Source organism: Homo sapiens, chromosome 13, assembly GCF_000001405.40.
Source record: "Homo sapiens chromosome 13, GRCh38.p14 Primary Assembly".
Classification (NCBI taxonomy): Eukaryota; Metazoa; Chordata; class Mammalia; order Primates; family Hominidae; genus Homo; species Homo sapiens.
This window is the reverse complement of record NC_000013.11, coordinates 62,197,199-62,218,987: the sequence shown is the minus strand read 5'-3', so window position 1 is coordinate 62,218,987 and position 21,789 is coordinate 62,197,199. Positions and strand designations below refer to the sequence as shown.

Here is a 21,789-nt window from a genome sequence, read left to right as displayed (position 1 = left end):
AATTGTAATTTTCTACTGATATTTCTGCCTTAACTGTAAATGAAGTTCACATTTATTGTTTGACTTTCAATTCCTCTACTATTAAAATAAGCATATTGCTTCCTGTCACCAATTTTCTACATGAATTATAAAGTTAATATGTATCTAATGAAAATCTTTCTTATAGTTTTACATGGTTAAAATTTATACATGGGTGAGTAAAAAAATAAGTCAATTATGAAATACCTTGCAAATTGACACAAATATTTAATTATCAACTTGGTGGTGGGGTAAGATGACTAGCTGTTGGTTTTTATTACAAAAAACACAATTCTATTTTAAAATGTTAGTTTTTATTATTTGGAAAAAACTATAGTGGGCGGCAACATCAGCAATTATTAACTATCAGTGAATTGTGTTACATGGCACCCTAAAAAATGTTGATTGGGACAAGACAATACAATTTGTGGACTTTAATTATAAAAGACAAATACAGTATTTAAAAATGTTAGAAAAGTACTCTCATAAGAACTGGAGACATCTTTATCAGCTCTCTTTTTTTCTCTTTTTGATAATAAAAAGAAGCACAACTCAGCCAGGTGCGATGGCACACACCTCTAATCCCAGCACTTTGGGAGGCCGAGATGGGTGGATTGCTTGGGCTCAGGAGTTTGAGAGCAGCCTGGGCAACACGGCAAAACCCCATCTCTACAAAAAATACAAAAATTAGCCAGGCATGGTGGTGCACACCTGTACTTCAGCTACTCAGGAGACTAAGGCGGGAGGATGGCTTGAGCCTGGGAGGGGGAGGTTTCAGTGAGCCATGATCACGCCACTGAACTCCAGCCTGGGAGACAGAGTGATAACGTATCTCAAACTCTTTGCCAGTGCAAAATTGAAGATATGTTGGCTTATGTAAAAAGGCAGTAAGAATAATTTATTGGCTCACGTAACTAAACCACAGGAAGGACAGTGTAGCTAAGACCCCAAAACACCTCAGTCCCAACCCTGATTCCTGACAGCAATTTTTTTTTTCTGTTTTTGACTATTCTGCTTCTTTTTGCTCTTTTGTTGTCTCAAGTCATCTTTCACCACATGACTAGAATCATATGACAGGCTATTTCAGGCATATTAAATCTTGCAAATTAAATTCAGAAAGGGCCTCCTCGATCCTTCTTTTCCCTTCTGAATCACAGTTCACAAATATTGGCCCAGCTGGCAAACAATGTGGTCTCTATAATGAGTTCAAAGAAGGATTCTTTGGGATTCTAATATACTTTCCCATCTCTTTGTGTTTGTAAGAATGGTTAGCCACCATCAACTCATGTAAAAAGATGTATTAGGTTTTATATAAATTTGGGATAACAAATAATTAGCAATCAATTCATTGATTTAATCTTTTAATCAATATATGACATGAAAGCAATCAAATTTAACGTTACTAAGGCTAACTGCCATAATAGAAGGTAAGTGCTTATCAGAATGCGTGCAATATGATTAGAATTTAAAATATAAACATTTCTATTATCATTTAGTATTCCATCATGAAAAGATAGAATGAGAAGAAATAAAATTGAGAAAAGACTTCATGTAAAAAGTAATTATTAAATTGTATTTTGAAGGACAAGAAAGAATAGCTACGGTTAAAGCTAAACCTTAATTTATGTTAGAAGTAACATTATATTGTAGAACATAAGTATTTGATGCTATCTGAACCTTAGTTTCCTCATCTGAAAGGTGGCTCTTGATTTTTTAGTATTAAAAACACTTTTCCCACTGTGAAAAGTACCTTTTAAAATATTAGCAAATTGTGTGTAGTTTAAGAGGCAGGAGAATCTCTTGAACCTGGGGGACGGAGATTGTGGTGAGCCAAGATCGTGCCACTGCACTCCAGCCTGGGCGACAGAGCAAGACTCCATCTCAAAAAAAAAAAAAAATTGCAATCTATCCATCTAACAGAGAGCTAATATCCAGAATCTACAAGGAACTTAAACAAATGTAGAAGAAAAAAACAAACAAGCCCATCAAAAAGTGGGCAAAGGATATGAACAGACACTTCTCAAAAGAAGGCATTTATGTGGCCAATAAACATATGAAAAAAGCTCATCATCACTGGTCATTAGAGAAATGCAAATCAAAACCACAATGATACCATCTCACGCCAGTTAGAATGGTGACCGTTAAAAAGTCAGGAAACAACAGATGCTGGAGAGGATGTGGAAAAATAGGAATGCTTTTATGCTGTTGGTGGGAGTGTAAATTAGTTCAACCATTGTGGAAGACAGTGTGGCGATTCCTCAAGGACCTCAAGGATCTGGAACCAGAAATACCAGTTGACCCAGCAATCTCATTACTGGGTATTTACCCAAAGGATTATAAAGCATTCTACTATAAAGACACATGCACATGTGTATTTATTGCAGCACTATTCACAATAGCAAAGACTTGGAACCAACCCAAATGCCCATCAATGATAGACTGGATAAAGAAAATATGGCACATATACACCAGGGAATACTATGCAGCCATAAAAAGATGAGTTCATGTCTTTTGCATGGACATGGATGAAACTGGAAACCATCATTCTCAGCAAACTAACCCAGGAGCAGAAAACCAAACACCACATGTTCTCACTCATAAGTGGGAGTTGAACAATGAGAATACACAGACACATGGAGGGGAACATCACTCACTGGGGCCTGTCGGGGGGTGGGAGGGCTAGCAGAGGGATAGCATTAGGAAAAATACCTAATGTAAATGACGGGTTGATGGGTGCAGCAAACCACCATGGCACATATATACCTGTGTAACAAACCTGCATGTTCTGCTCATGTATCCCAGAACTTAAAGTATAATTTAAAAAAATTTAAAAAAAGGAATAAAATGTTACCAAGACAAAAAAAAGTAGTTATTTTATTAATAGAGATTTACTCCGTGTATAAAATTAGAAAAAAAAGCTTTCCACCATGCCTAAATATACTGGTTATTGCAGTGGTCAAATAAGATATTGTTATGAAAGACCTTTCTAAAATACACATTTCTATAAATAGTGGGTGTAATATATAGTTATAAATGTATATGCAAACTTGGTGATAGTTTAAAATTTTTAAGCTTTTCTGTTTTAATGTATATTTTACTATTTTTCTTGCAATAAATGTTTCATATATTTGTATGATAAAGGCAAACTTGGATGCTGTTTATAAAATTATGATACATTTTGTTTTATCTGATATAATTAATATTTACCCACAGGACCAAATTACTCATGAATCACTGCTGCTTTGAAAACATAAAAGTTAGAGCCTGCTGTAAAATGAATCAACTCAGTTTTGTTCTCAAACTGCAGGTTTTTCAAAGTTAGCTATTATATTTCATAAAATATGTCTGTTAAAATGTTAATGTTGAATTTCTAAATTCATTCATGTTGACAAACACCAAAACACCATTACAATTCACCTAGGAATTCTAGTTAATTAAATACCAGTTGATCTGTTCATGCTTCTATTATGTTTTCTATGATAACTTAGAATAAAAAATTCATTGAAAAGATGGAAACACTTCATGGCAAATATTGGATGTTGTGTTAGAAAAAAGTTGAAGCTTCTTGTTCTACTTTAGGAAATCAGGTGTTTATTAAAAGTTTTTGAATTAATAATTTAGCCAATGATTTTTATTTAAATAGCTACCAATAATCACACAGGGACACAGCATACTGTCACAAAATTTAATTTATTAAAAGAAACCATAAGGCTTCCTAGAGAAGCACTTACTCTGGGAGCCTCATGGCTTAGCAGAACTGTTGGAGTACCAGAATTGTAAGTTTTATTTCTGATATCTCATTTACTGTTTATTAAATATAAGACCCTAGATATTGATATTTTCTCTCTATACCTCAAATTCCTTGTAAAAAACACACAATTGAACTATTTGACATTTATAATTTCTTTTTGCTCCAAAAAGAAACAAGTTCATGAGATATATGCAAATTATTGTTATATTTAAATAAAATATTTAAAAATATTTAAATTTTGTTATATTTAAACAGTGTTATTAACCTCATTTTTAGAAAACTATCCCCATAAATATTATAACATATAAATAGAATAATATAATAATAGAAAGGGATAATATTTTGCATTCCTCCTAACCCAAAACAAAACCAAAAAAATCTGTTTTAAAAAAAGACAACATAGCAAGATAATAAATTCCAAATCTGGAATAACATATTTGCAAAATCCAATAACACATTTATTTCAGTTTTTCAGTTTTATTAATTTCCTTTAAAATTTTTAAAAATAATATCACTATAAATTTGTATTCTGCTGTACTTATGAGAGTTGATCATGAGTTGGTTCATTCTTGTCCTACTCAACTAAAACACAGTCAAGATGCTTGAGGCAATGAAGTACTAAGCACCTAACATTGCTCTAAGAATGTAATTTTGGGTGAGCCTGGTTGCTAGAACTGTCTGCTGTAACCTAAAACCAGTTGTATCTAATGGATCTGCTGTAACTGTAATAGTTTTACTTATTGTCTTCTTTTATTAATCAAAACTTACCAGCTCTCCACAACCTTACTATGCCAATTAACTTTCTCAAAGAGTAATACATGTTTCTTTTTTTGCATAAAACCTCTAACCTTCCCTTTGTTCTTTGGACCCACCAAAGACAACCCGATCCAGGTGTGTGTCCCAAGTTGCAATTCTTTCTTCTTAAATAAAATGTTTAACTTCAGAGATTTGTCTCTGTATATTTTATTTTACTTCACCATACGTTATGATACAAAAGAAATTATAACATATGAGTATAAAGTGAATTTTGATTGTTTACATCCCTTATTGGTATGAATAGCAAAAACATAAGTTGCTGTCTCATTACAATTTGAGACCCTTAATTCTACATATAGAATAAAGACTTTGGTGGTTCATTGAGTAAAACATTCATAGGTGTTTTATATGTATATGAGAATATACTTGGGAACTTTTCTTGTTGCTTCAAAATTTTACTAGAACTTCAAAACGGAGGATAAAGCACACTACTGCGATCAGGTTTTAAGTAATGGTGCTAAACAAAATTTGGTGAGTCAAAAAATGTAAAAGATTGCCATTGCCATTCCTCTATTAGCTCTATCACACATCTACTGTTCAAATAAGGGTAGATTAGATTTCTGAGGAGATTCTTTAAGGAAATTATAGATGCAAAGAGATCTGGCATTTTATTAGGAAAAGACTGGATATTTCTGCCCATTCTTTTCCCCAATCTAAGGTGGGCATTCCTGGGAAGCCTCCCATAGACATTGGGGTTGTCATATAAGAGGACATTTTATCTCACACTCTTCCCATATATGTGCAACACTGTTGATACCTATATACACATTCATTGGGTGAGGAGGCAAGATCTGGTATTTATTTCTCAAATGGGAAAGTCTGAAGACAGTAGGTGACTCGATGATAACAAGGCACTATGAGAGGGGAGCCATTAGCCAAGCTGCGTTTTTACTATTTACTAACGTCGAGGGTACATTTTATTTTATTGAGGAAAAGACGGACAGAGGAAGATGAGGAAACTGAAGTTGTGATGAAAGAAATCTACCTAAGTTGGCAGCCAGCTAGAGTGAGGAAATTTCTACCAAAAGAAGCTATGATTGAAGTCCTAGAAGCAGGAATTGAGCAAAGGGTTTAAGAGACTGTATCTCCTATCACATCAGCCAAGTAAAAGGAAAATTGCACTTTTACTTATGCCCCTTCTGTCTTCTTTAAACCTGGAGTAACCACAAATGTCCACTGTGGGGGAGAGAGAGAACAAAATTTGAAAGAATCCACATTTCTGCAACTCCCCACATCCACCTCTGCAACTGCTAGTCTCTAGGCCACTGGTCAGGCCTCTACTGAGAGAATGAAAGGAAACTCAAAGTGAACATGAGTTTTAAGTTTTGATGTAGTCTGTTCTTAAATAAGTCTATTCTAACTTGGGAGGCCAAGGCAGGTGGATCACTTGGGGCCAGGAGTTTGAGACCAGCCTGGCCAACATGGTGAAACCTCATCTCTACTGCAAATACAAAAATCAGTGAGGTGTGGTGGCAGATGTCTGTAATCCCAGGTACTCCGGAAGCTGAGGCAAGAGAATCACTTGAACCCGGGAAGTGGAGGTTGCAGTGAGCTAAGATCACACCAACTTATTCCAGCCTGGGGGACAGAGCGAGACACAGGAAAGGGAAGGGAAGGGAACGGAAGGGAAGAGGAGAGGAGGGGAGGGGAGGGGAGGGGAAGGGAAGGGAAAAAGAAAGGAAAAATAAAGAAAAGAAAGAATCTATTCTGATAGCTATATGTTAATAAGAACCTTTAAGATTTGCTTGAGATGGGCTGGGCACGGTGGCTTACCACTGTAATCCCAGTGAGAGGTGACAATGTGTTAGCAGCCCTGGCTCCCTCTCAGTGCCTCCTTGGCCTCAGCGTCCTCTCTGGCCCTGCTCAAATAGCTCTTCTGCCCGCCACAGCGCTGTGGGGCCCCTCTCTGGGGCCGGCCGAGGCCGGAACCAGCTCCCTCTGCTGGCTGTGAGGTGTGGACAGGGAGGCACGGGCGCTCCTGGGCCGGCGAGGGTTCCTGGTGGGCACGGACTTGCCAAGCCCCTGGCGGTGGGACTGCCCTGGCTAGGTGCAAAGTCCAGGGGCAAATGCCAATGGGAGGTGAAGCTGGCTGGACTTCTGGGAGGGGTGGAGTGGGGACTTGCATAACTTTTGTGTCTAGTTAAAGGATTGTAAATGCACCAATCAGCAGTCTGTGTCTAGCTAAATGTTTGTAAATGCACCAATCAGCTCTCTGTCAAAACGGACCAATCTGCTCTCTCCAAAATGGACCAATCAGCTCTCTGTAAAATGGACCAATCAGCAGGATGTGGGTGGGGCCAGATAAGGGAATAAAAGCAGGCCACCGGAGCCAGGAGCCGCAACCAATTCAGGTCTGCCTTGGGGGTGTTCAGTGTTTTTTATTTTGCTCATCACAGTGAATTTTAAGACTGCTCAGTGTTTGGGTCTGCACTGCGTTTATGAGCTATAACACTTACTGCAAAGGTCTGCAGTTTTACTGCTGAAGCCAGTGAGACCAGGAACCCACCTTAAGGAAGAAACTCCAGACCCATCTGAACATCTGAAAGAACAAATTCTGGACACACCATCTTTAAGAACTGTAATCCTAACTGCAAAGGTGCGTGGCTTCATTCTTGAAGTCAGTGAAACCAAGAACCCACCAATTCCGGACACACCAGCACATTGGGAGACCGAGGCAGGCAGAACACCTGAGATCGGGAGTTTTGAGACCAACCTGATCAACATGGAGAAACCCCGTCTCTACTAAAAATACAAAATTAGCTGAGTGTGGTGGCACATGCCTGTAATCCAGCTACTCTGGAGGCTGATGGAGGAGAATCGCTTGAACCTAGGAGGCAGAGGTGGCAGTGAGCCGAGATCGTGCCATTGCACTCCAGCCTGGGAAATGAGAGAAACTCCGTCTCAAAAAAATAAATAAATTGATTGTGATGTCATGAAGGTGCAAAGACAGTTAAAGATTACTGATATTGTTACAACACTGTGTTGATTGTAGTAGTGGGAGAAAATACTGTTTTCTGATTAGTTTATCAGATATAGCTCATTATATATGTGGTGAGAGGTATGAGTGTCTTCATTTTCAAATCATAAAAAACTGTAGGGGGTTTACCAAGACTTAAAACTTGTTTGTTAAGTCTTTAAAGCCTTTGCTATATTTTACTAGGCATTCTATGGTTCCTTTAAGAATTTTATAGCTCATCATTTTAATTTTATTTAGTTTTTACCATATCAAGTGCAAGCTCAGATAAGTTTTCCAGATCTTTCATTAGTGTCAAGTCGTGTTAGCTAAAATGCACTTCAAAGTAGTTTCTAACGTTTATATATACTTTTCAGCAAGGCCAGACTTCTGACTACCCCATGATATACCTTCCGTATTCCTGTTTTTAAGTTTGCCTGGGCTGGTTCTTTCTTTAATAGCAATTTGTCACTTCTTGTCTGCCTATTTTGAAGGTATACAATTTTAAGATTCAGCTCAAGCTGGGTTTCCCAATACAAAAGAGCTTAACATGACTTGTTCTTTTCCACGTAATGTAGCTATAGTATTAACAAGCTAGGCTTTGAAAGAAAAGTAAAAGAAAATTTTAAACATTGTTGAAACATGACCACACCATTACACTCATTTGAAACAATTTATTTACCAGTGAGACATAAATTGTTTTTGTTGATTGCTATTTTGTAGTATAAGTTTGGATTGGCTAAGTATTGCAAGAAAGAGAAAGCTGATCTGGGAAAGACATCAAAATAAAGAGGAGTTGTATGCTTTAAATATAAAAATATAAAGCATTAACTATATTAGAATATATTTTACAAGTTCTTAACAATCATAGAATTCTAGAAATGGAAATTGGAAGATAAATATATTATTAGTGGTTAGAGGAAAATGAAAAATCTGCCTAATTTCCAGATGGCAGTTTTAATTTTATTTCCCTGTATCTATAAAATAAAGGTATTATTAGATTACACACGTATTTATATGTACATAGCTGTACTATAGTGACATAAATATATTTATAATATATATTACTATCACTTAGGTATAATGATTAATGACTACTAATTAAGAACTGATCCGTGTAGATCATTTACATGAAAAACAAAGAAATATATGCTAAAATTACATCATGAGAAAAAATGTCCCAATGTCAATGAATACATTTTATTTCTTAATTTAATGATGCAATATTATCAGTAAAAGAATATTCAAGGTAGCAAATAACTTGGATGTGAATTTGATTTCCATAAAAATTTTACTTAGGCTTCTAAATTTACTCCTCAACTTTACACAACCCATGCTCTGAATCTACCATGTTGTTTCCTTGATTTTCTTTGTATTTTAGGAGACATATAGAAACTCCTAAGAATATAGTAAAAGTACAAAGAGAAGATAGAGAGAGATCCCCAAAGAAATTAACAGCCCCCTAATTGCTAATTAAAAGCTCTTTGCTTTCTCTCCACATGGCCAGTACAGCTGCTTCACATCCTATCACTGAAAAGAAACACATAAATTCAAAGACGATATTGAGAGCAGCACCTGGTTCTGAGTGCACCTGTCGTGATGAGAGTATATTTCATACTGTCTGTAAATTAACATTTCCTAGGGCCCCAAAAGATGATTTTTTTCCCTCATTCAACTTCTTCCGTTGTCCCCAGTGTAAAGAATCAGTAGTTTCGCTTCCATTTTCGATACTAAATATATCATATCGTTATTTGCTTCACTGGTGCAGACACCTGCCTCCTGCTGTAAACGCCGTGTTCCAGCTCTAAAAGATTTCCCCAGGGCTTCCCATTCAAGTATTGGCTTGTAACTATGGCTTAATATCGTGTCAAAATCTCTTAAGGAAGATACAGCCTGTCACGTCATTTAAAGATTGAACCTTCATCTACTGAGATTCTGAAAATGTCCTTTGAGTGTTTGAAGCATGAGCAGACAAATAAAAGGCTAACAAGTCATTTGTAAAGATAATAGCTAACAGCAAGCATTCTCCTTTCCCTACCCCCTTTCCATTAAATGTTGATAAAGAAAAAAGAGAGCAGACTGCAGGGCCCTAGTTTTCGTTATTTGTAAACAGGTCAGAGGAAGCTTAAAACTCAAGTGTTTTAGACATGGAAAAAAAATATCTCCAACATCCTGCAAGGATTCAAGCATCACTGAAACGTGAATGAGATGTCAGTTTTCTGAAGGAAATAATTTTACAGACTCAGGATAGAGATGTGGTTGCTAAAATGCTTTTAATGATTTTTTAAATTCACTATATTATAGAAAATAAACTGGGTCTGTTTTTACCTCATGGTGGTTTTAATGCTTGGCTTGAAGAGTAGTAGAAAAAGCTTTACAAGTTGGGAAGAAGATCAGGAACCCCCTGTGGAATTTGGTAAGTGGAATAGTCAGTTCTACATTTTTGAATTACCATAATTCATACAAATCTCATAGGTGGCAAATAAATAACTTTAATCTTTGTCATTTAGGAGAATCAAACTTCTCAATATACAGATAATCCTTGAGTTAAGATGAGATTATATACAATAAAGCCATTATAGATAAAATATATTGTAAATAAAAAATGCATTTAATACCCCAACAAACCCATTCTAAAGCTTAGAGGGAAAGAGAGCCATCAGGTCAGGTTTGTATTTCTCAAATTCACAGTCATTGCCACCTTTGCTGCAGAAGTGGTCTGGCCTGAGTTTGAAATCCCGTCCTCCTGAAAATCAGAATGAGATGTTCCTAAAGAGCATTAACAGCATTTTTCAAAGAGAAATAAGCAGGGCAACATAAAATAATGTCTCGAATAGAACATGGCAAAACCCACACTAAAGCTGAAAATAACAAAGAAACCATTTTTGAGAACAGTGTTGATGTCCTACAGGTAGTATCCCCAGCCTTACTTCTTCCCTTCTATATCTTGAACTAAGATTACTGAAATACTAAACTCCTAAACTGCCCTTCTTTTGGAACAACATCAAGTGTATTAGGTTGGAGCAAAAGTAATTGCAATTTTTGCAATTAAAAAGCTGCAAAAAATTATTTTTGGGTACAAAAATAAAATGGACTTTGCTTCTCTGATCCTTGATTGGAATCACTCGCCACAAGTCCAAACTCTGTGAGAATACCTCCCCACTCAGCCTTTCTGAAATATACCATGGTTGCTCTAGTGTGCATTCTTCTTTGCTGCATTAAGCTATTCTGTTTGAATACAAGTACGCTCCTGGTAGATCTGGCATGTTGGTGTTTATTAGTGAGAATTTCATTATGACTTGATTGATATCCTTGCTGACGCAGACTAGGACTCAGTTACAGAATGAGATTCATTGAGTCTACTTGCTCAAGACCACCGTGCTTAAAATGGTGAGGCAATTCTTGCACTGAATCTGAACTCTGAATACTTTCTTGAGTCCTTTGGTATTAGTGCTATTTTATTTGTCATAAGAATAAAATCTTTAAGGAATTTTTGGTTATATTGTCAAATTTGTGCTTATTTTTTTTAATGACAATTTTGTTACTGAAATTCTAGGGCTTTAGTCTATGTCCTGTTAGCTTGCCACACAGAAAGCCAATCACTGAGACAATGAGTATTGCCAGGGATGGAGGCTTTATTCAGGTGATGTAGCCCAGGAGATGGGCAATTAGTTTCAACTCCATCTCCTCAACTGACTAAAATCAGAGGTTTATATAGCAAGAAAGAAATATAACCATGTGTGGGAAAACAGGAATAAGGGAGGGGTAAGGAAGAGAGCTGGTCAATAGGAAGTAGGTGGTTGGTTATACAGACATGTGAATGAGGGATCTGGTATTCATTGTCCACATGTGGTGATTTGGTAAGTTTCAGTTCCTTTACACTATCCTGATGGTTTGTTTTCCGAGAAAGGAACTCAGGTAAGACAGATGTAACTTTTTCAAGTTTTAAGACTGGGAAGGTCAACTTCGATGTTTATTCAAAAGAAACCACAAACATCAATTCTATGGGACAACTGGGACAGTTTCAGTTTGACAAAGCATGAATTTGTTCCCAGTCTTTCTGTTTGTCTAGTTATTATCTGAACAATTGTCTGTATATAAGGGTAGGTTTATAAAGAGTAGAATATATATATATATATACATATATATATATATATATACATATATATATATATATATATGGGTTGTATGAGCCTGTATTCTAAGCCAGTACCAAACCCTAATGTGTTCAGAAGTTCTATCACAGCTGCTTCCTTTGCTTTGTTTTTCAAAATTTAATAGGAATTTCTTCAGTTTTGGATCTGTGAAATTTGCTTTGAGATCAATCTCCTGGCCACACATTTGCTGGCTAAGGGACTGCTATCTGACCCAAAATAAGCCCATTGGGTAGTATTGCTTTGGCTCGTCCACTAATAAGCTTGTGCTACCTCTGGAAGAATGCTGGGTTCTTTTATTATTGTTGCTGTTATTATTATTATTGTTGTATTTATCTTTTTAAATGGCCTAACACTGACTTGACCATTTCAAATTGCAGTGGTTACTTAGAAAATTTTTGACACCTAGAAGATTGTTCATTTGAGAGTTACCTTAGAACAACAACAATAAAAAGAATCATTCACAGGGAAATCCTGTGTCTTATCTATGTAAAAGAGGGGTTAATTTGTTTAGCATAAGAGACATCCTTTCTTTCTTTCCACATTTGAGCATTGATAAGAATGACTATTTTAATCATATACTCTTAAAAGAATTTGGTTCTTGATTAAATTTTCTGTATATGCTGAATTATTGAATATATATAAACATAAATTTTCCTTCCTAATTGATAAGGAAATTCATAATTAACCTCCTATAATAGTAAGTCCATATATAGTAATATTTGTGTTTGAGTATGTGGCTTCTTCTAATTTCTTCCATCTCCTTTTCCCCAATTTTTTTCTTCTTGTCTCTCACACTTTCCTAGGAAACTTTAACTAATAAAAATAAAATTCCACCCACTATATTATTTCAGAATCATACATTTTAATGTGCTAGGGCTATCTCAATATTGACTCATTGTGAAATTTGTTCAGAATAATTCATGGAATGCAACAATATATAGCTATGATTAATCCACACTACAGCCTGTGACTACAATACATCTGATTATTGAGTTTGCACATATTTATTTCCTTTTGTGGTTTGCATAATTCCCTTTGGAGGTAATTACAAAAATGACTCCAACAGAATTACTGGCATATTTCACCTTTACTACAAAGGTGTATGATTTATTTCTAACTTAACTAGCCTTAGAAGCATTATCTTCAGCAGAATCCATGATAGCAGTTTTAAAATACTCAGGTGTAAGCATGGGCCCTGGGTGGCCTTCAAGATGGAAATTAAATGCATAAAAGTGTATCAGTTACAACACAAAAACAGAACAGAGTTTTCTTACATTATAAAAGTGATGCTTGTCTTCAAGATAGTTCCCGATATCACCTAGGGTACCTTTAGATCAATCAATTTTCCCATTCAAAAAGTGAAATGTTGAAATAACTTCATCCAAGAAAGAAAAACGCTTGAGCCCCAACTTGAGTCTCCCTTTTTATAAAGGCAGTGTGCCACATAAAAATCAATTAAATCACAAGTCATTAAATCATTAAATCAAAGGCCCTGCTCTGAAGTACATACTTGACAAATAGATGCTAATATTCCAATATTCCACAAATATCCACAGTAAAATTATCTGAGATTTAAATTCACATTTTTTAAGCACCACTCTGTTCTGTTCTTACAATACTTTTTCAATTTTAGTTCTTATTTTTGAAACTTGCCAGCATGTTTCTTGGTTGAATGGTCACTGAGCAAAAAGAGACCAAATCCACTTTCAAACCTTAACATAGGCACTATCTCTAAATGCAACATAATGCATAATAACGTATTTTTGTCTACTCTCTGATCTGTATCTGAAACCAGACCAATTATACCATAGATGGTTTTTTTGGACAAACATAGAAATCGACCCTCCTGGTCTTAAAGCTTGAAACTTACATTTGTCTTATCTGAGTTCCTTTCTCAGGAAACGGACCCTCAAGCCTCCTAGATAGTATCCAGTAACTGAAATTACTTACCCTCCCTAATTCCTGTTTTCCTAACTGACTGCTTGCTTCCTGTTGACAAACTCTTCTTCCTTACTCCTCTCCAATTCCTGTTTTCCCTCAGGTAGCTACATTCCGCACTAGAAAAGGCCCCAGTTTTAATCAGTTGGGGAGAAAGATTTAACTCCCATCTCTTCAGCTGCAGCATCCAAATAGAGCCTTTTTCCTTGGTAATACTCATTGTCTCAGTGACTGACTTTCTTTGTGGTGAGCAACGGGACCTAGATCAAACTCCTGGTATTTCAGTAACATATCAATTACATTGTGTGCTTATAATTTAGATTCTATTGACATGTAAAATTTTTCCTGAGTAAGTAAGGGAAAATAGTATATTTTGGAATATGCAGGTATATATGTATGGATTTATTTAATACTCTTTATACTCACATTCCTTCTGGAATAAATACACACACATATATGTATTTATACTCACTTTTCTTGTATTTTTTATTCAAAATGATAAGTAAAGTGGATCTTTAAACAATATATTTGGATTTAATATAGATCAAATATATAAGGCATGCACTATTAAGTACAACAAATAATATTAGATTATAATGTAAACAATGAATTCTTGATTTAATGAGATTATGTATCTTCTCAAGACATGATGGAATTGAGGAAATTAATAAGGCTTCATCTAATTTTAAATAGCATGAACACTATTTGTCCTTCAAGTCAGCTTTTGTTTTTTTCCTATGTGCTGCAAGATAGAGAAACCATCATGAGAAAAATTTTGAGACTTTGGAAGTATGGGAAAGGAGAAAATACAGAAATAAGAAGTTGGAAAAGAAATAAATATAGTTTGTAAAATAATCTCAAATGTTATTGACTTCAAGAATCTATTCTGGATTGAAAAACATTTTCATCTTTTCTGTAATTGGTCTTTTATTCAATAAGAGCATGTTCTTTCTTTTCTTTCTTTTTCATCTTCTCTCTCAAGATCTTGTTGAAATTATTTCTTTCAAAGAATCTGTTTCTTTTTATTCTTCCCTCCCCTTCTTGCAATCCATTTACCAATTTCGGAAACATTCTCAAAGTTTGCATAAAAGATAATATAAAGAATTATTTTTATTATCCACCAGCTTCCTCTGGTTTCTTCATCACAGTACTATATACATAAATAGACCGTATGTAAATAGTACAGTACTATTTAGCAAAATGAGTACTGAGGTAAGGTTTAGCTCCTTCATTTGAAATTTCTTTTACTGACAATAAAAGAATTCGTTTTTCTTATGACTCACCTATGAATACAAATTTCTGAAAACATATTGAGATATACTTCTCATATTATCCTTTTCTAAAAAGATGGGCTTTCTAAGTTCTCTGAACCAATACAAGAACATTTCTACTCTTAACATTTGTGCTCTTATTTCCCAACAGATTCAGTCACAATAACATATTTACATTGTTGTTTTGGGTAGAAATCCAATAATAAGCATGTATACGTGCTTATTATTGGATTTCTACCCAAAACAACAACGTAAATATGTTGTTTATTTATTTCTACCCCAAACAACAACATAAAATATGTTACTGAATATAGTTTTATTCAGTAGAATCAATTATTCACCTGCACACCATAAAGGAAAACAAGAGAAGATATTCATAGTATCTATTTTTATGGAAATTTTTGGCATGCATTATAGTATCTAGTTATCATAATTTATTTTTATCTGTTTTCTTGGTAAATAAATGTAATTTTCTCACCTTTAGTTTTGTTTACACAATGAAGTCTTAATTATTATGGGCTTTGGTCTCTGTTATTGTTGAAGTGTGTGTTATTTAAAATAATGTATTATTTTTTATTAAAAAGACTTCCAGTAATATTCATAACCGATATTATAAGAAACATCAGATTGTTGCTACATTTGGATTTTATTTCTGGATTAAAATAGCCATTTTAATTACATCATTTCAAGCAGAGTACCACTTATCAAAATCCCACTTGCTGAGATATAAATTATAGTCAACAAAAAAATTGAAAGAATAATTTTAAAAAAATGTTCGATTTATTCTATTTCTATCATCTGCACTCCACACTCACTCTTTCAATACATCACCAAACGACTCTGTTGGTTTGCAGGGGCGGCAGAGATGGACAGTGGATAATATAAATCCCCAACTCTCTACTACCCTCAAACTTCTTTCTCTTTAGACTTTCAGTGATTATTCTCTAATAACCTACAGCAATAACCTGTAAGAATTTCTAATAATTGAAAATACCAATCACACACACACACACACGCACACACGCACACTTCTATCTTCCCAAGGGGGTTCTTACGAGTACGATAGTAATATAGTTTTATTGAGAGCAAACAATTAGTGTTGTTAACAGCCACTTTAAGTACTACTTACACATGCTTGTATTTTCTTTATATTTAGTGCATCAGAATTGAAAGCACACCATAAAACCACCACCAGGTTTTGTGGTTTACCCAAATGCTGTGTCTTCTACCAATCTATCTTGATATTCATAAAGTTAAGCCAGTAGCTAATGTAAGTAAAGATTTAAATATTATATAAAACATTTCCAGAAATATAGAGACATACAAACGTGTGTTCCATTGCTAAAAAAGAAAAATAAGCACACAAGATACCTTAACTAGCTATACTCTTATTGTAGAGTAAATGTTAACAGTTTACAATTACATTGAAAATCTCTTATTTTATTAGTGCTTTTCTATAAATTGCATGGTTTTTATTTTAGCTTCCACCTGCCTGTTAAGTTCAACATGTAAGTATCTTTGTGTCTCTGTTAAGTTTAGCTGTAAAATTAGGTGGTTGAGCTGGAGCATCACCATGTGACCTTTAGTTCTGGAATACAATTATTTTGTGATAAGGATATATGTTACACAAGTTTACATTTTGTTTGTCTTTGACACCTTCGTTAATGTCATGCTGTATTGATTTTTAAAAATTTGTCCTTCATGTGTCTATATGATTTGTGTTCAAAATTGAATGATAAATTTTAATGTAAAGTGCGAATTCAACAAATAGTAGATGTGACTGTTTCATTTAGCCATAATACCTATCTATCTGCTTATCTATTTGTCATCTATCATTGGTAAATACATCTTAGGAAGAATTAATCTTGCTGCCTATAGCTGGATATAAGGACAAAAATCTTCAGTTGGAAAATATGTTAAGTTATTGGTTCATTCTTCGTTTTCTATTCAAATTGTTCTAAGTCATTCTATTGCCACTTTTTCTTCTTGAACATTATTGCTTTAAATGTCTACTCTAATCATATGTGGAATAGCTTCCTTCTGATTGCCAAGCAGAATAATTTTGTCTTTCTTAAAAAGAGCCACAAAAAGGAGACCAAGTAATTGCATAATTGTGATTATATTGGTAAAGTTGAAAATGTTACGATAACTTACAAAAAAATTCAAGGAGCTTATACCACAGTCATTTACCCATCTTTTTTGGCAGGTATATTTTATGGTTGAATTGATTTATTGCAAATATCTTTTATAAATCCCTAGAGTAAAGGCCAAATTGCCTTTTATCACTCTGAGGCAAAAACACAATAGAAACTCTCAATAGAAAAAAATGTGAAAGCGATTTTTAAACTGATACCTCATAGTGGCATGAAGAAAATATTTTTACTTTTTAAAATATTTTTTCATTGTTTACATGAGATTAAAATATAGTACATTTATAGATACACAAATACTTCTTGTCCTACATATCTTTTGAAATAGGCTTACTTGTCATGTTTAAGACTCAATAATTAGATTCTCAGGCCATAGAAAGTAAAGTTGTGTAAATTATTAAAAAAAGGTTTTTATTGTGAATTTAAAGCAAAATGTAAACCACTTTTCTATTGTCTATAAAATTTAATCTAAATTATCTTATCTAATTTTTCAGAAAACTCATAATCAGCTTACTGTCTATATGTAATATCATACTTGAACTCATCACTTCAACTATTATCAATCATGTAACGAGATTCCATAAACCTAGTATGCTTATTTTTAATCTCTAACTGGATTAATATATATAGATAAAGTTCTTGCTATCATGGAATTTATAATGTAATGGGATATTCAGTTAATACACAAACACACAGGCAAGATAATTTCAGATAATGATGACTTCCAGGAAGAAAACTAACTCAATTGGTGATATGATAAACAATTACATGTGGGAGAGATTGGTTGAGGGGTATTTTTGATTGTGTTATGAAATATCCTTTCAGAATTAGATGTTGGAATTTTTTAATGATTTCAAGAAGTTTCCCAATGAAGATCTGAAAGAAAAGTTTTCAAGTGCAAAGGATGGGTTTAAGTCTCATGTCAAGTTCAAATTTTACTTTCTATGCAATAAATGGAAATTTACTGTGGCTAAGTATTAGGAGTTGGGGGAATGCTATTTGGAATGAAGTCAGAGAAGCATATAGACGCTGTCAGATGTAGTGGCTTGTAGTGCATGGTAAAGAGCCTAGTTGTACTCTAAGAATAAAGAAAAGTCATTGGAGAGCTTTAAGAAGCAGAATGGCCTAATTTTACCTATGTTTTGTTTTGTTTTGTCTTTTTAGATGGAGTCTTGCTCTGTTGCCCAGGCTGGAGTGCAGTGGCATGATCTCGGCACACTGCAACTTCCACCTCCCAAGTTCAAGGATTCTCCTGCCTCAGCTTCCCAAGTACCTGGGACTACAGGCACACATCAATCCACGCCCAGCACTTTTTTTTTTTTTTTTTTTGAGATGGAATCTGGCTCTGCCGCCCAGGCTGGAGTGCAGTGGCGCGATCTCAGCTCACACTGCAACCACCATGTCCCTGGTTCAAGTGATTCTCCCGCCTCAGCCTCCCAAGTAGCTGGGATTATAGGCACCCGCCATCGTGCCTGGCTGATTTTTGTATTTTAGTAGAGACGGGGTTTCACCATGTTGGCCAGGCTGGTATTGAACGCCTGACCTCAGGTGGTCCGCCCACCTTGACCTCTCAAAGTGCCAGGATTACAGGCGTGAGCCACTGCGCCCGGCCCAAGATTTTTGTAAAGATTAATCTATCAGGAAATTAAAAGCTAAATCCAACAAATAACAAGAACAAAAAAGAGGATGGATTGTAGCAAGGCAAGGCTGTATGTAGAAAGGGCAGTCCGAAACTATTACAGTTTTCCAAGTGAGAAATAATGGTGGTTTGAATTCAAATGAGAGCACAGTTGGGGGAGCGAGGCAAACAGATTATAAATATAATTCAAACATAGAATCAACAGTGATTACTTTTGGACTGCAAGTGATGGGATAGTGAAAGAAAAGAAACCTAGATCTTTGGTTTGAAATATTTTCTTAATGGTTTTCCCATTCATTCACATAGACTATCATAACTAGGGGTGTTAAATGTTAAGTATGGGGTTTTAACCAGACCCTAGAGATCACCCCAGGCAAGGGCACTCTTAAAAATGATGTTTGAGGCCGGGCGCAGTGGCTCACGCCTGTAATCCCAGCACTTTGGGAGGCCGAGGCGGGCGGATCACCTGAGGTCCAGAGTTTGAGATGAGCCTGGCCAATATGGTGAAACCTCGTCTCTACTAAAAATACAAAATTAGCTGAGTGTGGTGGCACATGCCTGTAATCCCAGCTATTCGGGAGGCCGAGACAGGAGAATTGCATGAACCCAGGAGGCAGAGGTTGCAGTGAGCCGAGATCGCGCCATTGCACTCCAGCCTGGGGGACAAGAGCAAGACTTCGTCTCAAAAACAAACAAAAATGACGTTTGAAAATCTGCATAAATGTTATTTCGTAGCTACAGCACTTTACAAATTAACTTACGAAAGAATTACTATTAAAGATCAGAGGCCCAAAGATCAAATTGTGTAGGCTGTTGGACATTGGAGGTGTAAAGTCCAACTTCAATATCCATGGGAATTGATTCCACGGCCTCTGCAAATACAAAAATCTGTAGAAGTTCAACCTCCTTTTATAAAACGGCATAGTATTGCACAGTACTTATGCATATCTTCCAGTATACTTTAAATCATCTCCGAAGTACTTACAATACCTAATACAATGTAAACGCTACAGAAATCATTGTTATATTATATTGTTTTTATTTGTATTATTTTTATTGTGTTTTTTTTAAAAAAAGAAGATATTGAACCCACACCGCCTACAATGACCACTTCAGCATAATGCAAAAAAGAAAACAAAATTATCGGGCCAGGCGCGGTGGCTCACGCCTGTAATCCCAGCACTATGGGAGGCAGAGGCAGAGGCAGGTGGACCACCTAAGGTCAGGAGTTCGAGACCAGCCTGACCAACACGTGAAACCCTGTCTCTGCTAAAAAAAATACAAAAATTAGCCGGGCATGGTGGCGGGTGCCTGTAACCCCAGCTACTCGGGAGGCTGAGGCAGGAGAATCTCTTGAACCCGGGAGGCAGAGGTTGCAGTGTGCCGAGATTGTGCCACTGTACTCCAGCCTGGGTGACAGAGCAAGACACTGTCTCACAAAAAAAAAAAAAAAGTATCAGAGCTTGTTAAAGAACAACAGCTGCATCTTTTATACATTTGTTAAAGAAACATACTTTTCCTTGGGTTAGAAATGAATTACAAATTTTATTTCTCACATAAATATGTAGAGGAAACGTTAGGATTAACTTTCTAAATGTTTCTGCTTAGAATATTTATATTTAATTAATATGAAATTTGATTACACAATAAACAATGAGGTCTTAAGTAGTAACTTAATTATCCCTATGTTTGTTTATTGATAATCTGGTCATTAACTGAATTGCCTACAACAAACATTCTAACAAATTGAACTTCTACTAACAATTATATTGTTAGTAAATTCAGTTACCATTCATGCTTATGTAAAGGAAGCTTTTCAGTAGATAGAGCCTCAAGGCCAAGATTACATTAAATAGATAACAAAAACGAAACTTTAATAATTTAAAGAAGAAATAAAATCTTTTATCTTTAGTAATATTGTGCATATACTATGTTGAAAAAATTATCAGAAGTCATACTAATAATTGAATAAAACTAAGTTAAAAATGCACAGTAAAATTGAAAGGATTTTTTAATAGTTTCAGGGTGAAAGAGAGAGAATAACAAGAGGGTTAGATAAGGCTGACTGTATGGCCCTTCTGGAAGTGTTTGTTGATTTCAAAAACCAAAAGGCTGGCATTTTATAGTGAAGATGGGACAAACAGAAAATGAGGTCTTGGGTGAAAGGCAAAATATTAGACCTGAAGGCTCTTCCTTTTTTTTTTGAGTCGGAGTCTCCCTGTCGCCATGCTGGAGTGCAGAGGTGCAATCTGCAATCTTGGCTCACTGCAACCTCTGCCTCCCGGGTTCAAGCAATTCTCCTGCCTCAGCCTCCCAAGTAGCCAGGACTACAGGCACACACCACCATGCCCAGCTAATTTTTGTTGTTGTTGTTGTATTATTAGTAGAGATGGGGTTTCACCATATTGTCCAGGCTGGTCTTGAACTCCTGACCTCGTGATCCACCTGCCTCGGCCTCCCAAAGTGGGGAGAGATTACAGGCATGAGCTAGTGTGCCTGGCCCTGAAGCTCTTTTAAACTTCAGAAAATTTTATAGAAGAAAAAATGTCAATAAATGACAGAGGGTGTGACTGTGTCCCCTCCAAATTCATGTTGAAACTTAATTCCCAGTAAGAGAGTTTGAAGAAGTGAGGCCTATAAGACATAATTAGGCCATTAGGGCTTCACTGTCATTCACGGATTAGTGCCTTATAAAAGGGCCTGAGAGGCTAAGTTCACTCCTTCCATCACTTCTGCCATGTGAAGACAGCATTCATCCCCTCTGAAGGATGCAGCAATGAAGCGTCCTGTTGGAAGGAGAATGTAGCTCTCACCAGACTCTGAACCTGGCAGCACTTTGATCTTAGACTTTCCAGCCTCAAGAACCATAAACAATACATTTATATTATTTATTAGCTACTCAGTCTCAGTATCAGATATTTTTTATAGCAGCACAAAGGGACTAAGACAGGGAGACAAAAACAAAGCTTTCTGTCTTGTCCAGGGCTTTTTCTAAAAAAAAGTTTAACACACACACACACATCACACACATCACAGGATAAGAAAATAGTCTAAACATACCAGCTGAAAGATGTGACACATTGTAAAGAAAACATT

General features: G+C 35.6%; 1 long non-coding RNA gene across 1 annotated transcript in view, besides 2 other annotated features; it reads right to left on the bottom strand.

Annotated features, from left to right (window-relative positions):
* Positions 1-6,706, bottom strand: part of LINC01075 (long intergenic non-protein coding RNA 1075) — a 37,670-nt gene extending 30,964 nt beyond the window's left edge. The window contains exon 1 of the long non-coding RNA NR_125787.1: positions 6,359-6,706. This is a non-coding gene — a long non-coding RNA (long intergenic non-protein coding RNA 1075). The remainder of the gene's footprint in view (positions 1-6,358) is intronic.
* Positions 6,398-6,692: a silencer, noted in NCBI's record as "tiled region #11307; HepG2 Repressive DNase matched - State 12:CtcfO". NCBI's record gives its function as "represses a minimal TATA promoter and a strong SV40 promoter by Sharpr-MPRA in HepG2 cells {active_cell/tissue: HepG2}" and the evidence as "EXISTENCE:reporter gene assay evidence [ECO:0000049][PMID:27701403]".
* Positions 9,180-9,279: an enhancer, noted in NCBI's record as "active region_7805". NCBI's record gives its function as "activates an Ori minimal core promoter by ATAC-STARR-seq in GM12878 lymphoblastoid cells {active_cell/tissue: GM12878}" and the evidence as "EXISTENCE:reporter gene assay evidence [ECO:0000049][PMID:35858748]".